The 23,518-nt window shown below is 40.6% G+C and overlaps 1 protein-coding gene across 37 annotated transcripts in view; it reads right to left on the reverse strand.

The window, feature by feature from the left end:
• The window catches only part of NCOA6 (nuclear receptor coactivator 6), a 110,878-nt gene that overhangs the window by 29,288 nt on the left and 58,072 nt on the right, over window positions 1-23,518 (reverse strand). For 9 of the 37 annotated variants that reach the window (XM_047440061.1, XM_017027750.3, XM_017027748.2 and 6 more), the window contains 6 exons: window positions 14,744-14,887; window positions 13,159-14,043; window positions 11,035-11,124; window positions 10,661-10,774; window positions 5,342-6,458; window positions 2,746-2,867 (listed from right to left, as the gene is read on the reverse strand). In XM_047440061.1, coding sequence (XP_047296017.1) covers window positions 2,746-2,867; window positions 5,342-6,458; window positions 10,661-10,774; window positions 11,035-11,124; window positions 13,159-14,043; window positions 14,744-14,887 — 2,472 coding nt within the window. The other 28 variants (XM_047440064.1, NM_001242539.3, XM_047440057.1 and 25 more) reach the window with 8 other exon arrangements.

Below are 23,518 nucleotides of genomic sequence, written 5' to 3' on the forward strand. Positions count from 1 at the left end.
ATACACATTGAAAATAAAATTAGGGCATTGAAGTTTTTATGGATATTAATTTGCACTTACTTTCTTACATGCAAATCTCTATTTGGAGAAATATTTTCCATGAATCCACAGCTGGAGAATAAGTAAGGCAGAAGCATAGCCCTCAGGAATAAAAAATAATTTTGGGAAAAGAACTCTGAAGGACAATGTCTTCTAGATATGCAGAGGGCAACATCTCAAATTATTCTCTTTTTTTGTGAAGATTTTACTTGGCATTTTAGAACCAAAACCTTACAATCAGAAAAGATAAAAAGATACGCAAACCAAGAATAACGGTGGTTCTGTGGGAAAAAGTGGGCATACAGCTGGGCATATATGGGATACAATTCCAGTTCCACAAACTAGATTTATTCCATTGTTGCATGAAGAGTACATTAGGGAGGTTTTAAGAAGGTGTAGGAATAAGAACAACTGGCTCTGGCAGTCAAAAGAAATGCTGACTCAACATTTTCATAGAGCAGCTACCAAATTTTGTGGGTCAGACTCAGCACTCAATTAATGTCTTCTGGCCAAAGATTTCCATGGTATCAATGAATACAATGTGTAGAATCCAGTTTTGAAGATTTTTAAAAAAATCCTTTTTTATTTTAGGCCCGAGTAACTTCTTCACCTTTATAAAGCCAATAACATGGCATTTCTATGGTTCAACTGTCCTTTCGACTACATAGTCAAATACAGTGGGTTCCTATTTTTCACATTCAGTCTGGGGTTCCCACATTAAGAAATTTGTAATTGCTACAAAAGCCTGTTGATGTCAGGGTTATGACATGGATGCCTTTTATCTTTAAAATCAGCCCACCAGACAGTAAATACCAAAGAGGACAGCATAGACAATATAGCAGCCTCTCAAAAGTAACAGTTAAGGGCATGGCTGCTACAGAGTCCAGAAGCTGGAGGCAGCAGTCCAAAAGGCACTAATGATAAGACAGATTGGGGCTGACGTGACAGAATGGTGAAGAGGGAAAGCCAGGACACACATAGTGCCCATAACACAATCACAAACTGAATTTATTACTCAGGGAATGCAAACTCCTATGCCTTTAGGGGCCAGGCAGGTAGTAGAGAATAGAAGTGGACTGGTATAAGACAGCAGGAGTCCTGTCAACAGTGCCAAACTGCAGAGCAGATGCCCTATTTAAAGGCATTTAAACTCGGACTTTTGTTTAAGACACTGCATAGCAACTCAAAACCATTATAGGCCAAATTCAGCCTGCAGGCCCCCAGTTTGCAGAAAGAAGGCAATAAATGTATACAAAGACCCCTGGGATTCTTATAAGAAGAGTTCAGATGTGTCTGAGGCAAGCAGGCATGTTCCTGCTCTCAATGCCTTCTGGACATACTCCCCAAAGACTGATGACCTCCCAGTCTCAGCTATGCTGCTGCATCTCACTGACGGGAAGTGTGATATGCCCAAATAATTTGTAATAAATAACACAAAGTATTGATATCATGATGGATTTAGCTTTTTGTTTGGATTCAATTTTAAAATACATAAATTAGGGGTAGATTAAAGGTTACTCCTAAAATAATGTCGCTCTCATTTTCATGCCAAAAAGAAGTTGAAATAACTAGTGAGGAAGAAACAAAACATACCCTCTGTACACACAGGGGAGAGTGGCCTAAGTGTGAAGGGTTGTGTATCTTCAACCGTGTCATAGGGGAATAAAGTTACAAGTCATTGCTCAGGCCAAGATAACCAGGTATAGAGATATTGTGGCAGCTGGCCTTGGTTCTATAATATCTAGGTTTGAATGAATTAATTTTAGGAGCTTTTCCATCTTTGACATAATTTTTCAACATTTAAAGGATAGTATTATTTTATAATCAGAGAGGATACAACAAAGGGGGCTTCCAATATTGGTCCTATTTATTATAAATTATTAACCTATGTGGTAGATACATGGGTGTCTCTTTTATTCTTTATATCTTCTTTATATTTTAAAGACTCATTAATGAAACTTCTATAAAAAAGATCATCTTGTTTTAAACCCTGGTAGTTCCCTGCTTTGAGAAGCCCCAGGAAGAAACGCTGCAGGAAAGGCAGGCAAGCAGGATTAGAGTGAAATCATCTCTCCATTTAATCTTATCCTGTTCTGATGCCAACTAGAATCTTGACATTGACAAGAATAAAGAGGCACTTCACATTTCATGGTTTTTTTTTTTTTTTTTGAGACAGGGTCCCAGGCTGGAGTGCAGTGGCATGATCATGGCTCACTGCAACTTCGACTTCCTGGGCTCAGGTGATGCTCCCACCTCAGCCTCCTGAGTAGCTGGGACTATAGGTGCGTGTCACCACACCTGGCTAATTTTTAAAAAATTTTTAGTAGAGACAAGGTTTCACCATGTTGCCCAGGCTGGTCTTGAACACTTGCGCTCAAGCGATCTGCTCATCTTGGCCTCCCAAAGTGCTGTGATTACAGGTGGATGAGCCATCATGCCCAACCACATTTCAGTCCGATTTTATGAGGACTTAAAATAACAAAGACAAATTTGAATAGAATGTGTGTGTGTATGTGCCTTCAAAAGTTATATTTGAAATTTTTACTTAATATCAAGGCAAAGCTTCCAAATACCAGACACATTAAATCACTGAAGTAGACTAGTTAGCAGATAAAATAAAATACTATTGTTTCCTTGAAGACATGGAAGCCTTGTAATGCCACATGCACATGTAATAAGTATATAATCTAGCTAACATTTTATCACCTGGTGGCCGGTTTGAAAATTCTGGCAGTTTAGGGCCTGAGTTATCCAAGTTAATTCCTTGTTCTCCAGGCAACGGTGGCTGATCAGCCTCTTCCAGACCAGCTGGGCGAGTATCTGGGGTGCTAAAAAAAAAAAAAAAAAAAAAAGTGACATATTTTAGAATAAGTTGTATAGAAAATACACAAAACTAGCTTAACCCTTCCCCTATTTCTGAAGAACTAAAATGTTTGCATTACCATTATTCATCTCTCTCTAGTCTAGATAAAATATTAAATATTGGCATAAAAATAATCTGGCAATTTCATTAAATGTTAAAATCCATTTAATCTAACAGCACTGTATTTACTCAGAATGCTTTCCACAAATTCCTGGTGCAATAATTTTCATGTAATCACCCATTCCTTAGCTGTTTTAAGACCTGATCATAGGACTATCAATGTTACAAGGTACTGTTCCTGTGAAACCACACTATCTTCAATGTAGCGATCAAATTCAACTAGGGGGTCTGATTGTTTCTTTTTTGTGGATATAACAGTGGGGGCTCAATTCATAACACCTTGCAAAAGGTTGTATAGGTTGGCTGATGGTATTCAGAGAACAAAGAAAGATTGAGACCACCACCACAAAGATTTTGCTGCAGAATGAGAATTTGCAGACATCTCTATTTGCTTTGAGATGCCTTTGCTTTTACCTGGGTGTAGCTTAAAATTTTTAGTAAGGAAGAAAAAAATGAAGAAATTGTAGCTACTAACACCCACATTCTCAAAGAACAAGACTGGTCACGGGCCTCATTTTGTTTGTAATCTCAGTACTAATTGTACTTTTCTTTTCTATCTTTAGTTTCCCTTTGCCCTGATTTTGTTCACCCACTTTTAGGTAGTGTTTTGTCTCATTATACTCTGTACAGTTTCATAAGCCACAAAAATCCACTTTAAAAGCCTCCCAGCAAATGGAAATTTAGAACCTGAAGCAGATCGTCAGCACATCCAGACCTATAACAATTTGCTCCTTGTAAGACTTCTCTCTCACTTTAAATTACAGGCAAGAATTCAGTGGTAACCTTTACTTTCAGAAAATTGTAGAGATAAGAAATCTCAGATATCTGGTCCAGCCCCATCATGTTATGAATGAGAAAACTAAGGCCCAAAAAGGTGTATGAAACAGGCCCAAGATTCCACAGTGAAGTAGTGGTAGAGCTGGAAGCAGGTACTTTTCCTGTAAATCCACTGTCTCCCTTTCCTGGGAGTCCTGATGCTGTGTAAGGTCCCTTTCACAATTTGTAGACCTAAGTAACCAATTTCCCTAAGGGCTGGTGAAGATGGCAAAAAATACACACTAGAGGCAACTGAATAACCTTGCAATTTTACTCCCAGACTACCGAGAGAATAAAATATTTATTAAATAATTATTCCCATAGGTTGATGCTAGTAAAGAATTTAACTGAGAAAGAGCTATCAGAAAAATTAGATAATTAACTTTGAATTCAGGAAAATATAGGTTATCATTAATAATACACCATGATTAGCTTTTAAAGCATAAGATTCAAGAAGAGGCAAGTGAGCATGATATAATACAGTACAAAGAATGTTGTGGGAAGGCTGGGATAAAGGTAGTTGGTTTAATTTTGAATATTTAAGCTGGTTGAAATAAAGTTTCTTGATTCTTTTTCTATAATTCTAACAATTTATTTCAATTAACCTGTTTTACATTCATTAGCCATTATTTCCTCATTTATTATTTTTTTATGATTAAAGGCACAAAATATAGCTCAGTGAATATTCCTTCTGGAAACATTTTATCAAACCCAGAAACACAAATTAATACTTAGCTTCAGGAAATGAAATATAAATTGTTAATTGCCTTTCCTGCTATGATCTTGCAAAATAACTCACCTGGAGAACGTTTACTGAAAGGGTAACTGATTTAAAAGGTCCAATCATCTTAGCGTGGGGTTTTAAGCTTCTAGGGATGATAAAGAGCCTTTAAAGGAAAGGCACCTGTGCAAAAAAACCATTTCTATTTGAGAGACAGCAGTAGTTTTAATTTCCAAAACACATTTGGCCTCTCTGGTTCCCCAATAGCCATCATAAGCCTAAAGTCAGTGCTTTGTGGAGTTGCCATATGGTAGCACTGGTTACTTTTCAGGCTCTGATTGCCAAAACCCCCCGACACTGTAAAATTAAGAGATATACCAGCCAATTGCAACATATGAATCTTGTTTGGATCCTTATTTGAACAAATTGTAAGAAAAAAATTTGAGATAATCAGGGAAGTTTGAACACTGGATATGAGAGTACTAAGGAAGTATTAGTTTTCTAGGTGTGCTAACAATATTGTGCGGGCATATTAAAAAGTGTCCTTATCTTTTAGAGACACACACTGAAATATTTACCCAGCGAATTTGCTTTGAAATACTCAAAAGGGTAATGGAAGAGAGTACAGATGAAGGCAAGACAGACTATGAGTTGATAATTATTGAAGCAGGGGGATTTCATTATACTATTCTAGTTTTATATTCTGTAAAATTTTCCATCAAAAAAGTTATCCACACAGAAAACAAATGAATAAAATTTGAGGCAAAACCATCACAACCTACTTTAGATCTTGCTGACTATTTTTCTTCTTCCGAGGGGGTTTCTTCTTCTTCGGTTTATTTGCGTTGGTATTATTTTGCTTATTGTTTACCCCAAAATGGCCTGCAGATATGTCACTCTGCAATAAGTTGACCAACAATGGGCTCGTTAGCGTGACATCCTTATTGACTGGGAAGCCTGGATTTTGACCACAGGACATCTGATTTCCATTGGGAGCTCCACTGAAAGGTGCATTGAAAGACATCCCATGGCCTGAGAAGTGGTTTCCCGAGGCACTGTTTCCCTGCATGGCCTGCACATGAGGGGGGACCATGTTGGTTTGTTGAATGCTAACATCAGGCATCATCTGAGATAAACTGACATCGTTATTTGCTGTAGTAGCAGGATCACCATGCTGCTGGGCCATGTGTGGGCTGGGCCCTGGTGGCCGCAGGACCTGTCCCTGAATGCCCATAACCTGAGATGGACTGTTGTTCACAGGCCCTTGCTGGGGCAGCATCTGTCCTGACATCTGTCCCGTAAACTGCACCATATTTCCTTGCATGTTTGGAGTTGGTCCCCTCATTATCTGGGCTGGTCCCGGCATGACATTGGACTGGTTCTGAGTGTTAAACTGCTGCTTATTCCCCTGCATTTGATTGGTCATAATCTGCTCTATCATTGGGTTCTGTTGGAGCAAAACCTGCCCCTGAGGCCCCATCATCTGGTTATGTGGCGCCATCATTTGTGGGCCCTGCTGGGAAAGCATCTGCTTGGGTGGGGTCATCCTTTGGGGCGAGGGCCCAAGATTTTGGCTCGGGGGGTTCACCATCATCTGGCCCTGTGGCATAAGCTGGGCCCTTGAAAGGATCATAGGGTTCTGAGGGTTCAAGGTTCCTTGTTGCTGGACCATCTGGCCCTGGGAGGGCACGATTTGCTGGTGCATGCCCATCAGCTGAGATGGTGGGCCCTGCTGGGGCTGGCCTTGCATGTTGCTGAGGTTCACTTGAGGAACCCCAGAAGTACCAGCCTGCTGATTGTTCATGTTGCCATGAATTCCCATGAGGCTGGGCTGCATCATATTTGGCGGCCCGTGGGACACCTGCATCTGGTTTTGAGGAGGACCAGCTCCTTGACCACCTTAAAAAAAAAAAAAGTCACAGTTTCAGAAATAAATATTTTTATCTTATTGGTATTAAGATACTCAAGTTACATTACTCAGAAAGACATCCATCACCCTTATATCCACTGACCAACATAAATATGCTGTTGACATACTTCCTGTGAGTTTTCTAAACTACAAAGATGTGGCTGTGGGATAACTGCTTACATTCCCAATGACCATATAATAGAGAAGGAGAAACAGTTTCTACATTCCCATATGGTATCTTAAAGATTTAACGTTTCAAAGATCAAGAAAGTTTACTTTCTTTCAGATTAAATAATGAGAAAGGCAGCATCTCACTGTTTTAAAATGACTTGTAGTGGCCAGGCTCGGGTGGTTCATGCCTGTAATCCCAGCACTTTGGGAGGCTGAGGCAGGCGGATTGCTTGAGCCTGGGAGGTGGAGGTTGAAGTGAGCCAAGATCATGCCATTGCACTCCAGCCTGGTGACAGAGTGAAACCCCGTCTCAAAAAATTAAATTAAATTAAATTCAAAAAGCACTATGGGCTACTGAAATAACTCTGCTATAAGAATGTGAAGTGTCGGCCGGGCGCGGTGGCTCACGCCTGTAATCCCAGCACTTTGGGAGGCCGAGGCGGGTGGATCACGAGGTCAGGAGATCGAGACCATCCTGGCTAACAAGGTGAAACCCCGTCTCTACTAAAAATACAAAAAATTAGCCGGGCGCGGTGGCAGGCGCCTGTAGTCCCAGCTACTCGGGAGGCTGAGGCAGGAGAATGGCGTGAACCCGGGAAGCGGAGCTTGCAGTGAGCCGAGATTGCGCCACTGCAGTCCGCAGTCCAGCCTGGGCGACAGAGCAAGACTCCGTCTCAAAAAAAAAAAAAAAAAAAAGAATGTGAAGTGTCCTCTTAGGAAAACCTCAACAATCATGAGAAGACATTTAAAAATGCTTCTTGGAAAACTGTAATAATAATGACTCTCAAAAGCTATGTGTGTGATATGTGGATGCTGCACTTCAAAGAAAATAACACCAAGGACAGGTGTCCTCTGCCCTGATGTGGTAAAAAGCAGTTAATCTTGATCTGGAAGCTGAGCCTCTGGTGGGAGCCAACTGACTAGATGACCCATCTGGAAGCTGCAAATAGAGGAATAATAAAACCTCAGTGACCCTCTCCTGCGCAGTCCCTGGTGAATCATGTGGCACATGTTTTAGTCTTCTCAGCTATTTCTAACTTAGACAAAAGTTGCTACCCGCCTTGCTGTAGTGCTTATTTATTTACTGGGTCTTTGGGATTTTCCTATAGCTACTTGCATTATCTCCCCGTTTAACTGAATAACTTTGTAGTTAATTTTGTCCCTTTTATTTTTCACTTTTTTTGTTGTTTTGTTTTTGAGACAGAATCTGGCTCTGGTGCAACCTCGGCTCATTGCAACCTCCACCTCCTGGGTTCAAGTGATTTTCATGCCTCAGCCTCCCCAGTAGCTGAAACTAGAAGCGCACAACAACACACCCGGCTAATTTTTGTATTTTCAGTAGAGACAGGGTTTCAGCATGTTGGTCAGGCTGGTCTCGAACTGCTGACCTCAGGTGATCCACCCGCCTTGGCCTCCCAAAGTGCTGGGATTACAGGCTGAGCCACCGCACTTGGCCTTATTTTTCACTTTTAAATGGGGACTAGAAAATCCCCTACAATGAAGTTATGAAGCCAGTCCATGCTCCAACTATGAAGGCAGGGGGCAAACTACCTTGTTCACACTATCCAGACTTCTCCTGAACTCTAAGGAAGATTTTCTAAACCAGCCTTATAAACTCAAAGTGGAACTCCATGACCATTGTATATGCTTGTATACAATAAATATACTGTGTATATTCATTCAACTGACAATTATTCATTAAGTACCTGATACATAGAAGGCACTTTGGTGCTGAGGTAACATCAATAAACAAGACAGACCAAATCCCTGCATCCTTGGAGCCTACAGTCTAACTGGCAAGAGACACAACTAACAAACAGACAAGTATTTTTTCAGGAAGCAGTAAAAGCTAACAAGAGAAAGTAGGGTGAGAGAAGAGAAAGTAAGAGATAAGAGTAGAGCTACTTTAGATAGGATAAATGGGGAAACCAAAACATGTACACGTGGGCCGGGCACAGTGGCTCAGGCCTGTAATCCCACCACTTTAGAAGGCCAAGGTGGGTGGATCACCTGAGGTCAGGAGTTCGAGACCAGCCTGGCCAACATGGTGACACCCCATCTCTACTAAAAATTAAAAAAATAGCAGGGCATGTAATCCCAGCTACTTGGGAAGCTGAAACAGAAAAACGCTTGAACCTGGGAGGCAGAGGCCGCAGTGAGCCGAGACTGCGCCACTGCACTCCAGCTTGGGCACAAGAGCAAAAACTCCATCTCAAAAAAAAAAAAAAACACACACAAAGAAAACAAACAAAAAACATGTACATGTGGAAGGTACCATATAAAAACACAAAATAGCTGTGATAGGGTACAAGAATGAGAAATGACTTTGTCATTGTTTTAAAACATACTTTTTTTTTTTTGAGATGAAGTCTCTCTCTGTCGCCCAGGCTGGAGTGCAGTGGCGTGATCTCAGCTCACTGCAACAACCTCTGCCTCCCAGGTTCAAGTGATCCTCCCGCCTCAGCCTCTTAAGTAGCTGGGATTACAAGCGTCCGCCACCACACCCGGCTAGTTTTTTGTATTTTTAGTAGAGACAGGGTTTTACCACGTTGGTCAGGATGGTCTCAAACTCATGATCTCAAGTGATCCACCTGCCTCGGCCTCTCAAAGTGCTGGGATTACAGGCGTGAGCCACCGCACCTGGCCTGTTTTAAAACTTCCTATAAAAAAACATGAATTTGCTGGGTACAGTGGCTCATGCCTGTAATCCCAGCACTTTGGGAGGCCAAGGCAGGTGGATCATGAGGTCAGGAGTTCAAAGACCAGCCTGGCCAACATGGTCAAATCCCGTCTCTACTAAAAATACAAAAATTAGCCAGGCATGGTGGCGGGCACCTGTAATCCCAGCTACTCAGGAGGCTGAGGCAGAGAATTGCTTGAACCTGGGAGGTGGAGGCTGCAGTGAGCCGATATTGAGCCACTGCACTCCAGCTTGAGCGACGGAGCAAGACTCCGTCTCAAAAAACAAAACAAAATAAAAAAAAAACAAACATGAATTCATATAACTCAGGAATGCAGTTTTGCATTAGCAGATAGAGAAATTCAAGCAGTTTGCACTACCCTTCTGTTACCCTGCCAGAAATAGTGTGAACTTTTTTTGTAAAAGTCAGATTTTTGTCTCATTCCTTAGTGATTTACAATTAAAGTTGGAGTCACATTACTAAATTAACTCCAGGAGGGATGGGAATTCAGAAACTAGTTGCACTATCTCAGTCCAAACTGCTTCAATGAGAAAGGGTAAGAGGATTAGTCATGTGGTCCTTAAGCAACCAGAAACATGAAGTTTGAGCTTATACATTACTGCTTTGCAAATACTTTTTAGCCATTCCCCTGTATCTTATTTCCTCTCCAAAATTTCTTCTTTTTGCAGTACACTGTTGGTAGTAAACGTGAACTGATGAAGTTTGAAAAATATCACACTGTAAACCAGAATTCAGACACTCAGCATAAACAAAGCTTAACATGTACCACGTAGAGATTTAAAAAGTTGCAGTTGTCCAAACATGCCTCCATGCCTTTGTGTCTGTGGTTTTCATTTGCCAGAAATGCCTTTTTGCCTTTTACTACCTGAGCAAGCTCTAACTCAGGGGTCAGCAAACTATGGCCCTCTGCTGGTCTGTAAATAAACAAGTGTTTGGAATGCTACCATGCTTGTTTGTTTATGTATTGTCTATGGCTACTTTCTGTGCTATCATAACAAAGTTGAGTAGCTCCAACAAGAGACTATATAACCTGAAAAGCCAAGAATATTTACTATCTGCCCCTTCAGAGAAAAAAAATACTGCTGATTCCTGCTCTAACTCAAGTTCCATCTCCTCTTAGATGTTTCTGAGTTCCTGTGACATTTTACCTACTTTTGATATATTGACAAAAGTTACTGCCCTGAAAGAATAATTATTTATGGGCTTGAAATTAAGGGGAGAGACCAAGACTTATTACTTATCTGTATACTCCTGTTGTCTATCAAGTCTACGACACAATGCTCAATAAATGCTGGCTAAACAAATCACAGAAAACAAACCTGCATGCTGGACATTTTGATTTGCTTGCAGCTGAGGGGCTCCTGAATTCCCAGGGGTGGTTGCTGTGGTCGAAGGCACCTGACCTTGCATAAAGTTCGGATTGGCCTGTCCTGCTGAGAAGCCAGGTGGGAGGCGTTTAGGCATTCCTTAATAGAAAACAATGAGTAAGGCAGTTACCTAGCAAATTTATACTCTTGCTTAGATATGGAATGAATAAGGAAGGATGAGCTGCATGAAGTCTCCACTGGCTTAGCTCTCTCTGTCACACTGGTAGGATCTTTAATAATAAGGTTGGGAAAGATGGTTAAAAAAATCAACACAATCTCTTATATGAGGCATTGTCAAAATGAAAAATAAATACTAAAAAACTTACACTTAGAACATGCCAAGGAAAAGATGGCAATCTGCTCCCTAAATGTGATCTGAGGCCACGCCACAGCAAGGTTTGAGGGCTCACTTTTCTCTGTAATTAACAATGGACCCCAAAACTTTAGTTATTTTAACACAGGCACCAAAGGAATATGCTAAATTCTCTCATTTCAAACAAATTGATGTGAAATAGTATAAAACAAAGAGATGGGTCCTGATATTAAGGATAGATTGATTATTTTTCCTTTGAGGGAAACTGATGGCAATCTCCTTTGCAGAAAATTTCCCCCCATTATTGCGCTTGTCTCTTTGGAAGAGACAGGAGATTAGAAACAGTTCATGGGAGCTTCAAAGTGATGCTGTATTAAATCATTATGCTTTCCCCTCATAAGGTTTGCTGTGATTCTGACAGGTTTGGTACCAAAAACCATACTCTAATGGAATCTTTCTCAAGTATCAGTTCCTTTTTGGAAGGGCTAATTTTAGAAAACTTGTAATAAGGAGAATCTCAGAACCCACTTATCATTTACAACACAGGCCTTGATGTGGCCAGATCACCTAGGTGAGCATATCATCTGCTCTATGAAAGCATCAAGACCTAAACTCACTTAAAAATTTATTACATTCATTCATTTATTTATTTACTTTTATTTTTATTTTTTGAGATGGAGTCTCGCTCTGTTGCCCAGGCTGGAGTGTGGTGGAGCAATCTCAGCGCACTGCAACCTCCTCCTCCCAGGTTCAAGCAATCCTCCCTGCCTCAGCCTCCCAAGTAGCTGGGATTACAGGTGTGCACCACCACACCCAGCTAATTTTTGTATTTTTAGTAGAGACGGGGTTTCACCATGTTGGCCAGGCTGGTCTCGAACTCCTGACCTCAGGTTATCTGCCCGCCTTGGCCTCCCAAAGTGCTGGGATTACAGGCGTGAGCCACTGCGCCTGGCCATTTATTTTTTTAAGGGCCAAATTTTCAATGTCCTGAAAAACTCTTAGTAGACAAATATGCATTTGTCCTTTCTTTAACAGTGACAAGTCCCATTTGCATGCTCCCACTGTAATTAAATCAGTAATCACATTTGCAGGAGGGACTACCCAGCTTCCACTGATCTGGGGTAGATACCCAGAACAGTGAAATTTGGAGCTGAAACATCCTTGCATTTTCTAAGAACTTCTTACAATTCAAATATTAGAGCCTGCATGTCAGCAAAATTAATTACAAGAGAGTAAAAGGCTGATGAGCAACTTAACTTCATCAGAAACCATGGGAACATGCCTTTGCTATGTTGCACTAAAGATGCAAGGGGTTTTTTCTGGGTAGGCAATGGGTGTCTTTTGGTGGGGAGTATGTTTATCAGATGACAGTATTACTGATACTCTATACCTTACTGAAAAGCTCCAAGCACATTCATGTGCACTAGATCAATGATTAATAAGAATAAATAATAAACATGGAGATGGATAAGTTTTACTGTAATCGTTTTACCTCTCACACATTAAGCTCCATTGCTTTTTCTTCATACAAGAGGCACCTTACAAAATAAATAAATAAATCTCCTTTAGGTATAACTGGTGGAATTCCCTCTCTAAGGAGCAGGCATTGGCATTATAAAACTATAAAAGTCAATGATTTCTGAACTTATTCCCCTTTAATACTTTAACCAAACTTAACAAGTACCATGCTTACTATTTTATTAACTAGGATTATCAAAATTGATAACTAAAAGGGCCTTTTCTTCAATGAGACCCTGTTCTTTTTATTTTGCTCTATTGCATAATCTTAATTTTTCAGCAACTGAGAAGTTTAAATTGTTAACAAAATGCATTTTTCTTCTGGACATTTTAATTTACTAGTACAAGATCAAGCAAAAATAATTTGAAAAACAAAATGAACATCTCTACATTGAATTTTACCTGAATTTTAGTCCAGAGAGCTAGCTTAAATTTAACCAGTAAGATGCTGCATAACGTATCAAGTTAACTTTAAGTTATATCAAGTGTCACCACCATATCCACAAAACCAAATAATTATATCCTTACTCCACTCCCTCCATTAACTCTAAAAACTGAAGTTCTACTAAGATCTAGCTCCAGCAAATTTACCAACACAAATAGCTACAGTGTTCCTCACCTCCTAGGCCTGGATGTAAACTCTGTGGCCCCTGGTTTGGTGGTTGCTGCTGCATCACCATGAAGTTAGGTGGCACATTTCCCTGTTGAACCATAGGATTCCGACCCGGAGAGCTGACAGGCTGCTGAAATCCCTGGGGAAGTGGGTTATTTTGAGGTGGCCTTGGTCCCATCTGCTGCTGAGTTTGGTTAACCGTTGGGGAGGATGCAGGGGATCCCTGCTGGAAGGAGGAGGGTGAGGAGGCAGGAGACTTGTTGGTGAGGTGGGGCTGCTGCAAGGGAGTTGGGACCCTAGAGGGCCCTCCCTGCAAACTCTTCATCTGAGGAGCTGTGAACTGGCCTGGGTTGCTCATCTGAGGAAAGTTTGTGTGGGCTTGTGAGGCTTGCTGGCTGCCAAAGGGATATGGAGGGGGAGGGTGGGAAGGCGTCTGTACCGTGGCTAAGGATGGTCTTGCCTGGAGTTGCTGTTGCATTGGGCCGGGCAAGGGAGCCTTCTTCCACCCTTGGTTTGCAGTCATTGTGCCCAGAGAACCCTGGGCTGGAGGAGGTTGAAGGGCTCCAGAAGGCAGCTGGTTCCAGCCTGGAGGAACAGGCACCTGAGTTGGGGCAGTAAACTGGGGTCGAATTCCCTGTGGCTGTTGCTGCTGATGTTGCTGTGGGGGTCTTGCCTGCAACTGTTGTTGCTGCTGTTGCTGTTGTTGCTGCTGCTGCTGCTGCTGCTGCTGTTGTTGTTGTTGCTGCTGCTGCTGCAGCTGGGGAAAATTAGCTGGGTTCATTTGTCTGTTCACAGAGACAGGCTGCATTGGGTGATGTGGGGGAGCTAAAGATCCTGAGGGATGACTTTGCTGCTGTATATGGAGCCCAGAGAGGAGTGGATCCATTGCATCTGTTTAAAGATAGTCAACAAAGCAATAATTAACCTACTGCAATCTAGATCTTAGAGAAGTGGCCTTTGTAATTCTGGATATACAGAGCAAAATCTGCTGGTACTATTCGATAAAATAAATGCTTGTGAATACCTTCTATGTATGAAGCAACATACCAAGATGATGAATTCTGTCTTAAAAAGAGCTTGGTCAGTAGTGGACATTAAGAGCGAAGTGTAAAACATGGAGACCAGTATTTACCAAATCATATTCTGGAGAACTATGTTAATTAGCATTATAAGAAAACAAAACAATTAGGTTTGGGAAACACTGAACCTAACAAACTTAGATGCGTTTCTTCACTGTAGGACTTTCAGTGCCTCCAATATGTTACTTTTGAATCTCCAGGAGGGAGGGTAAAGAATGATGCATTTACCAAATTTACTTGACTACAGAATTCTATGTAATGAGCATCTTGCAGGACTACGCAGGCCAAGGCACACTTTTAGAAATGTTGGGGTATAATTGATAAGAAAACAATGAGAAATTCTGAAAAGAAAATAATGACATTTAGTTTGAAGAAATCAGGTCAGATTTTGTAAAGAAGGTTGACATTGTGAGTTTGGAAATTAGAAATTCAGCATCAGAGATAACTGAATTTTATAATGATCTGTGCAGAAAGTTTCAGACTCTTCATCCTCAAAGATTGGAAGTCATTACCTGACTGAGAAGCAGGGCGAGGAGTCCTGGGCTGCAGCTCTGGATTGGGGCCTGGTGCCATCATGGAAGATGACACATTTCCACCCGGGGGTATCATAACAGTGGCAGGGTTGTTCATCCTTATTATTCCTAGAAAAAAGATCCCTAAAATAGAGTACTGGAATTGGCACAATTTTTGTTTTTTAATGAGTTATTTCAAGAATATGAAAAGATATGGAAAATTTGTTTTTTTTTTTTTGACAGGGTCTCGCTCTGTTGCCCAGTCTGCCAAGTGGCACAATCACAGCTCACTGCCATCTCGACTTCCCGGGCCCAAGTGATCCTTCTGAGTCAGCCTCCCAAATAGCTGGGACCATGGGCACATGCCACTGGGACCACAGGCACACACCACTGTGCCCAGCTAATCGTTCTATATTTTATAGAGATGGGGTCGCTATGTTGCCTAGGCTGGTCTCAAATTCCTGGGCTCAAGCGATCCTCCAGCCCAGCCCTCCCAAAGTGCTGGGACTACAGGCGTGAGCTACTGCACCCGGCCTGGAAGTTTCTACACCCACCATCTACCTTTTTAAAATTTAAAAAATTTGCTCTTATGTCCTTCAGATATATATGTAGATACAGCAGAAGCCCCCTACTCCTTCCATTCCACTTCCTCCCTCTTATTGCAATTGTGGTTAACAGTTCTGTTCTTGTTTATTGACCTTTTCTGTATCTGTAGGTAAACTGCACTTTTTCTGTAGATAAACATTTTTTGTATGCTTTTAATCTTTGTATAAATGGCACCTTACTATATGCATTCTTTGTCAGCTTCCTTTTTCACTTAATGTATTTTTTGAGATTCATCTCTCTTGACTGTTATAAGGGTTCCATTGTATAGAAGCATATATCCACCCTTCTGCTGATGAATACTAAGGTTTTATTTTTCCTTTATTCTTATAATTTTGCAATGTTGTGTATTTGTCATGAATTCTTGTGGATACATGAGAGTGTCTTTAGACTATATATTTAGAATTGCTAGGTTTTAAAGTCTAAGCATCTTTAATTTTACTAGATATTGGTAAACTGCTCTCAAAAGTGGTTATACCAATTTATACTCAAACTAGCAGTTTGAGAACTCCTCTTTCTCCATATCTGAAAATTTCTGATACTGCTAAACTTTTCAGAATTTATCATCTATGCTCCTAAGTGAGAATAGGTCAGGCATGGTAGCTCATGCCTGTAATCCCAGAGCTTTTGGAGGCCAAGGTGGGAGGACTGCTTGAGGCCAGGAGTTTGAGACCAGCCTGGGCAACATAGAAAGACCCCATCTCTACAAAAAATAAAAAAATCAGCCAGTGTGGTGGCAAGCGCCTGGATTCCTAGCTATTTAGGAAGCTAAGGCAGGAGGATCACTTGAGCCCAAGAGTTTGAGGCTGCAGTGAGCTATGATCATGCCACTGCTCTCCAGCCTAGGCAACAGGGCAAGAGCCTGTCTTCAAGAAAAAAAAGTGACAACGCCTATACTTATTCTCTTTTCCTTTCCTTGGCTACAGAATTCTCTGTCATGGAGCATCTTGCAGGACTAAGTTGGCCAAAGCACACTTTTAGGAATGTTGAGGTATGAATAAGAGAACAATGAAAAATTCTAAAAAGAAAATGATGACATTTAGCTTGAAGGGCAGATTTTGTGACATTTTGATTTTTGGCATCGAGGTGAAAATAACCTCAAAATGAGTTGGAAAGCATCTTTCTTCTTTTTCTATGCTCTGGAAGAATGTGTGTATCTGTTCTTTAAATGTCTGAGAAAACTTTCCTGTAAAACCATCTGGGCCTATAGGTCATACTAATTGATTTACAGGGAAACAGATTTTTATTTCAATTTCTTAAATGGCTATAGACTTTTCAAGTTTTCAATGTCTTACTGTCAATTTTTATTAAATTATAATTTTGCCAACACTAAAATTTATTAGCATAGTTAATTGTGGAATATATTTTTTCTATTCTTTTTAAAAAATGATATATAATTCATATACTATAATATTCACCTTTTAAAATTTGTACTTTTTTCATTCTTTACATTGTTTGTGCCCTCTTTTTTTCCTTGGTGGTCTTAGCACATTCATCAGTTTTAGCTGTCCTTTCAAAGAAACATCTTTTGGGCCAGGCACGGTGGCTGACACCTGTAATCCCAGCACTTTGGGAGGCTGAGGCAGGTAGATCACTTGAGATCAGGGGTTCGAGATCAGCCTGGCCAACATGGTAAAACCCCTGTCTCTAGTAAAAATACAAAAATTAGCTGGGCGTGGTGGTGGGCGCCTGTAATCCCAGCTACTCAGGAGGCTGAGGCAGGAGAATCTTTTGGTTTTGCTGTTCTGTTGTTTTTTTGATTCATATTTTACTTATCTCTATTCTTATCTGTATTATTTCCCTCATAACTTACAGCTCTGCTCAATTCTTAAGTCAGACACTTAGCTTGTTAATTTTCAGTTGGTGTTCTTTCTTAATATAAATTTCTGAAGGCTTAACATTTCTTTGAAGTGTTGTATTGGCTACATCTCACACATTTCAGTATATATTATTCTCATAATTCCATTCTAAATATTGTCTAATTTCCATCAGGATTGCTTTTTTAAATCACTAAGTATTTATAATGCATTTTTACGTTTCCAAAAATATGAGATATTTTGGTTATGCTTTTTTTTTTTTGCCACTGACTTAACCTAACAGCACTATGGTCAGAGAACAGAATCTATGTGATATTAATATTTGGTATTTACTGAAACGTGCTCTTGGAATAATCCTTGGTCAGTTTGTATAAATTTTCCATTTATGCTTGGAAATATTAAGAATTCTTGAATTATGACTGCATGGTTTTGTTTTGTTTTTTTTCTCCGAGATGGAGTCTCACTCTGTTGCCGAGGCTGGAGTGCAGTGGCGCAATCTTGACTCACCACAACCTCTGCCTCCTGGGTTCAAGTGATTCTCCTGCCTCAGCCTCCCGAGTAGATAGGACTACAGGCACACGCCACCATGCCTGGCTAATTTTTGTATTTTTAGTAGAGACGGGGTTTCACTATGTTGGCCAGGCTGGTCTTGAACTCCTGACCTTGTGATCTGCCTGTCTCGGCCTCCCAAAGTGCTGGGATTACAGGCGTGAGCTATCGTGCCCGGCTGACTGCATGGTTTCTATATATGTCCATTATATAAAAAGTATTTTGTTATTCAAGCTCTCCTTTATCCTTACTAATTTTTTACAAACTTGGCCATCAATTACTCACAGAGGTGTATTAAATCTCCCCTAAGGTTTGCTGTTTACATGCAATTCTTAAATGTCTTGAGGCTAGGTTGTTAAATACGTAAGAGTTTAGCAACTTCCTGGTGAATTTTTCCTTTTACATTATATAGTGGCCCTATATACCTTCAGTGATGCTGTTTATTTTAATGTCTGCTTTATCTGGTAAAAATATTATTATGCTTTTCTTGGTTAATAATCACCTTGTTAATCTTTCTATCTTTCTAACTTTGAACCTTCTGAGTCCTTATATTTTATGTGTTTCCTGTAACAGCACATAGGTAAACCTGAGAATACTATTCTGATTAATCATTTCCTTTTTATCAGTGTTCATAATCCATTTACCTTTATTGTTTACTAGTATATTTTGATTTTTTTGTCATTTTATGATTTCTATTTACCCTTTTTTTCTATTCTGTTTTCCTATTTTCCTGAATTTTACTGGATTAATTTTTTTTCATCATGGTCATCCTCTTTAATCCTCCACTACTAGTTTAGAAGTTATATATTCCATTCATATTATTTTACTGGTATCTTTAAAATGTCAGCAGACATACCTGACTTAAAGTTTAAAGACATATATGATCATCATTATTACTAAATAAGTCAATGCTTATTTAGATTTACCCCATGCTTATCAATTATTTAGCTCACCATTCCTTCTTAGATCTTATTTCTTCCATCTTAGGTTCAATTTTCTTCTTCCTGAAGTACATCCTTGAGCAGTTCAATTAGCAAGGGTCTGTTAATGGTAAATTCTCTTAGTCTCTTTGAAAAGCTCTTTATTTCATACTACTCTTGATAGTATAGCTATGTTTAAAATTCTAGGCTGTCAATTATATCCTCAGCACTTTGAAAAAATTATTCCAATGCTTCCTGGCCTCCAATGCTGCTGTTGAGAAATCAAGAAAAGCTGATAGTCTTTCCTTTGTAAATAATACGTCTTTTCTTTTGGGTTGCTTTTAACATTCTGTTTTTCAATGTTCTGTAGCTTTACAATATTGTGTCTAGATGTAGTTTTATTTTTATTTTGTAGTGCTCAGGAATACTGGGCTTCTGAATCTGAGGACTTACGTCTTTCATCCATTCTGGAAAAAATTTTAGCCATTCTTTCTTTGACTGTCATCCCTCCTCAATTTCTTTATCTTCTTCAGGAACTCTTTTCAAACATATGTTAAACCTTCTCATTTTATTCTTCTTGTCTCTTGACCTCTTTCATATTTCCATCTCTTTTTCTCTGCGCATCCTGAGTGATTTATTCAAATTCACCTTCCAATCCACCTATTTCTAATTTGCTGAATAAGTTATCCACTTTGATGATTTTTAAATTTCTGTAAGTTCTGTTCCCCCCATCTCTCCTTATGTTTGATAGTGTCTTGTTTTCTTATGATTCTCATAATTGTTAATACTCTGACATTCCTATTACCTAAAATTTTAGAGGGAGGGAATCTAATCCTAAATTGTATAAATTCAGAATATAAGCTCATTTATATCAGGCTTTAACTAGGAGAAGTATGCAATGACTTGGGTTGAGAAAATACGCCCCTCCACAGCTTCAACAGTTATCACCAGTCTAGACCTACCTAATGTTAATGACTTAGCCTGGCTATTAATGGGTATTCACTAACATATCAAATGTCCAAAATGCAAGAGGGTAGAGAAGACAATTCCACAACACCCATTCTCCCACCTAACGTCTAGAGCCCCAGCGAACACAGACAAATTTCCCATTAATTTCCCTATGCCAGAGAGTGACATTTTCCTAATCTATCTTTCACTGAAAATTCTGGCTTCATGAAGAATTCTGAATTCTAACTTGCTTCTTCCTGTTGACCCAAGGCTTTATCTTCTATCCCTTCCCGGCCATTAAAACCCAAATGCTTTGGACCCTGCAGAATCTCATTTGTTTACTGCCGTTTAAATATTCACCTTTGACATTTTTTTTTTTTTTTTTTTGCCCTAGGGAGTTCCTCTACTTTCTTTCCCCATCCCTCTGCTTCCAAGCCCAGCTACATTTTTTTTTTTTGTTTTTTGAGAGGGAGTCTTGCTATGTCACCCAGGCTGGAGTGCAGTGGCGCGATCTCGGCTCACTGCAAGCTCCGCCTCCCAGGTTCATGCCATTCTCCTGCCTCAGCCTCCTGAGCAGCTGGGACTACAGGCGTCCGCCACCACACCCGGCTAATTTTTTGTATTTTTAGTAGAGACAGGGTTTCACCATGTTAGCCAGGATGGTCTCCATCTCCTGACCTTGTGATCTGCTCACCTTGGCCTCCCAAAGTGCTGGGATTACGGGTGTCAGCCACAGCGCCCGGCTGCCCAGCTACGTATTAAATGTTATAGGCCGGACGCGGTGGCTCACGCCTGTAATTCCAGCACTTTGGGAGGCTGAGACGCGTGGATCACTTGAGGTCAGGAGTTCGAGACCAGCCTGGCCAAGATGGTGAAACTACTAAAAATACAAAAATTAGCCAGACATGGTGGTGGGCACCTGTAATCCCAGCTACTAGGGAGGGTGAGGCAGAGAACTGCTTGAACTTGGGAGGCAGAGCTCGCAGTGAGCCAAGATCGCGCAACTGCACTCCAGCTTGGGTGACAGAGCGAGACTCTGTCTCAAAAAAAAAAAAAAGTTATATTTTAAGTTTTGTAGTTGGAGAGGACAGTTAGGCTAATGTTTATCTGTTGAAACTGGATCTGTTTCTGAGGAATCGCACCTGGTTTTTTAAAGATGGTAGTTAGACAGTTAAGAAAGCTCTCATGAGGGCTTGGTGCGGTGGCTCACACCTGTAATCTCAGCACTTTGTGAGGCCCAGGTGGGTGGATCACCTCAGAGCAGGAGTTCAAGACCAGCCTGGCCAACATGGTGAAACCCCATCTCTACTAAAAATACAAAAATTAGCCAATTAGCTGGGCATAGTGGCACCTGCCTGTAATCCTAGTCACTCGTGAGGCTGAGGTGAGACATCGCTTGAATCCAGGAGGTACAGGTTGCAGTGAGCTGAGATCATGCCACAGTACTCCAGCCTGGGTGATGGAGTGAGACTGCTTCACAAGAAAAAAAAAAAAAGAGAAAGCTCTCATGAGATAAGAAACAGGTTTTTGGCTGGGCGCGATGGCTCACACCTGTAATCCCAGCACTTTGGGAGGCCGAGACAGGTGGATCACAAGGTCAGGAGATCGAGACCATCCTGGCTAACACAGTGAACCCTCGTCTCTACTAAAAATACAAAAAAAAAAATTAGCCAGGCATGGTGGCATGGGAGGCTGAGGCAGGAGAATGGCGTGAACCTGGGAGGCAGAGCTTGCAGTGAGCCGAGCCGAGATCGTGCCACTGCATTCCAGCCTAGGCGACAGAGCGAGAGTCCGTCTCAAAAAAAAAAAAAAAAAAGAAACAGGTCTTCTTGGTCCATAATGAGCTTCCTAATCCCAGAAAATTTCAAGTATATGCTGACTACATGTTCAATAGTGACACTATAACATGCATTCCAGTACTAGATGGGAATCTGCACAAGATCCAAGGTTCTCACCTAGGGGAAATTTTGTCCCCTGGGGGACATTTGGTAATGTCTGGAGACATTTTAAGTGGCACAAATGCAGGGAAGTAGTGGTGCTACTGGCATCTGGTGGGTAGAAGCCAGGGATGCTACTAAACATCCCACAACACACAGGACAGCCTCCCACAGCAAAAAATTATTGGCCCCAAACATCAATAGTGTTGAAGTTGAGAAACTTGAATTAAATGACTACTATAGTATCCCCACAAATCTTGGAATTCTATAAGGCTATGAAAAAAAACAGGCTATGGATTTAGTTTTAGTTGCAAAAGACTCTTGCTTATTAGCTAACTTTCTGTTGCCCATGCTAAGAGAAGAAAGCAGTACTAAGAATAATTGAAAAACCAACTGTTGTAGATACACAGTTCTAAAGTTACTTATTATTGTTTTAGAGGGGATTTAAGGTCTCTTTCCCTAGAAAAATTTAGCTGTTCAGTTTAACCTAATATTAAACTTTGTTTGCATCCTTCAAGTCTCAATAGACAACAGAGAAAAGCAATCCTAAAATATGCTTGGCAGTAAAGAGAGATATCTTGGGGGTTAAGATGTTACTGTTACTACAGGTCATTACTAATTGATTATTCCTGAAACTTTATACTATATACATTATCACAATCTGAGTCCTTCATTAAATACCAATCTAATCTGATTTCAACCTAAAGCTTCTCAGTTTCCTAGGTTGATAATCAACTATAGCACTATAATTGGCTGGGTACGGTGGCTCAGTTCATGCCTGTAATCCCAGCACTTTGGGAGGCTGAGGTGGGCAGATCACTTGAGCCCAGGAGTTCAACCAGCCTGGTCAACATGGCAAAACCCTGTCTCTACAAAAAACAATACAAAACAAAACAAAAATAAGCCGGGTGTGGTAGTGCACGCCTGTAGTCCCAGCTACTGCAGGGCTGAGACAGGAGGAACACTTGACCCTGTCTCAAAAAAAAAGCACTATAATTTACATGCACTTCTTAGAGATACTTAGTAAACATGCTTGCTATTTGCCAGATACTAGCCCAAGAGAGCTTTTAATTAGGGTACTAATAACAGTTAAGTGGCGTCTTAACATTTTAAGCCTAGAAGGGATCTCTAGCATTGTTTCCAGAACATAAAGATGTTTATAGGCAACTAGAGTCAGTACATATTAAGTCCTTTGGCCAGGAGTTGAGATTAGAACCCAGATTTCCTGATGCTCATCCCAGGTTTATTCATTCTTTCATTAACTATATCTAACTTGGCTAGGCTTTTCCCACTCTGCTTCTGGCCCATGTCCTTCCAGTAGTGGCAACAGTGTCATCTATCATTTCTCATAAAGCTACCTTAACACCAAATGCTCAGACTTCTGTGGGGAACTACATCTATGTACACAATACCAGGCTGGATATTTTACATCTATTTTATGGTATTCCACAACAGCCCAACAGCACAGGTCCTGACATATATATTTTCCTAAGTCCTAACAAGAACTTAGGAAATGTTTGCTACACTGCTCAGGGCTCTTCTACCTTCAAGCATGAGCTCAAAAGATGGTAGGTATTATTATTTCATTTTATATGTGAAGAAAGTATTGCTTGGGGAAGTACAGTAACTAGCTTGAGGTAACCTGTAAATGGTAGTACCAGAATGAAAACCTAGTTCCAATTCTATGATCAGTTCATTAGCTACAGTTCAGAATAGCATTTTTTTTGTTTTGTTTTGAGATAGAGTCTCACTCTGTTGCCCAGGCTGGAGTGCAGGGTGCGATCTCGGCTCACTGCAACCTCCACCTCCCAGGTTCAACTGGTTCTCCTGCCTCAGCTTCTCAAGTAGCTGGGATTACAGGCGCCTGCCACCACACCTAGCTAATTTTTGTATTTTTAGTAGAGATGGGGTTTCACCATCTTGGCCAGGCTGGTCTCGAACCCCTGACCTCAGGTGATCCACCTGCCTCGGCCTCCCAAAGTGCTGAGACTACAGGCATGA

Source organism: Homo sapiens, chromosome 20 (genome assembly GCF_000001405.40).
Source record: "Homo sapiens chromosome 20, GRCh38.p14 Primary Assembly".
Classification (NCBI taxonomy): domain Eukaryota; kingdom Metazoa; phylum Chordata; class Mammalia; order Primates; family Hominidae; genus Homo; species Homo sapiens.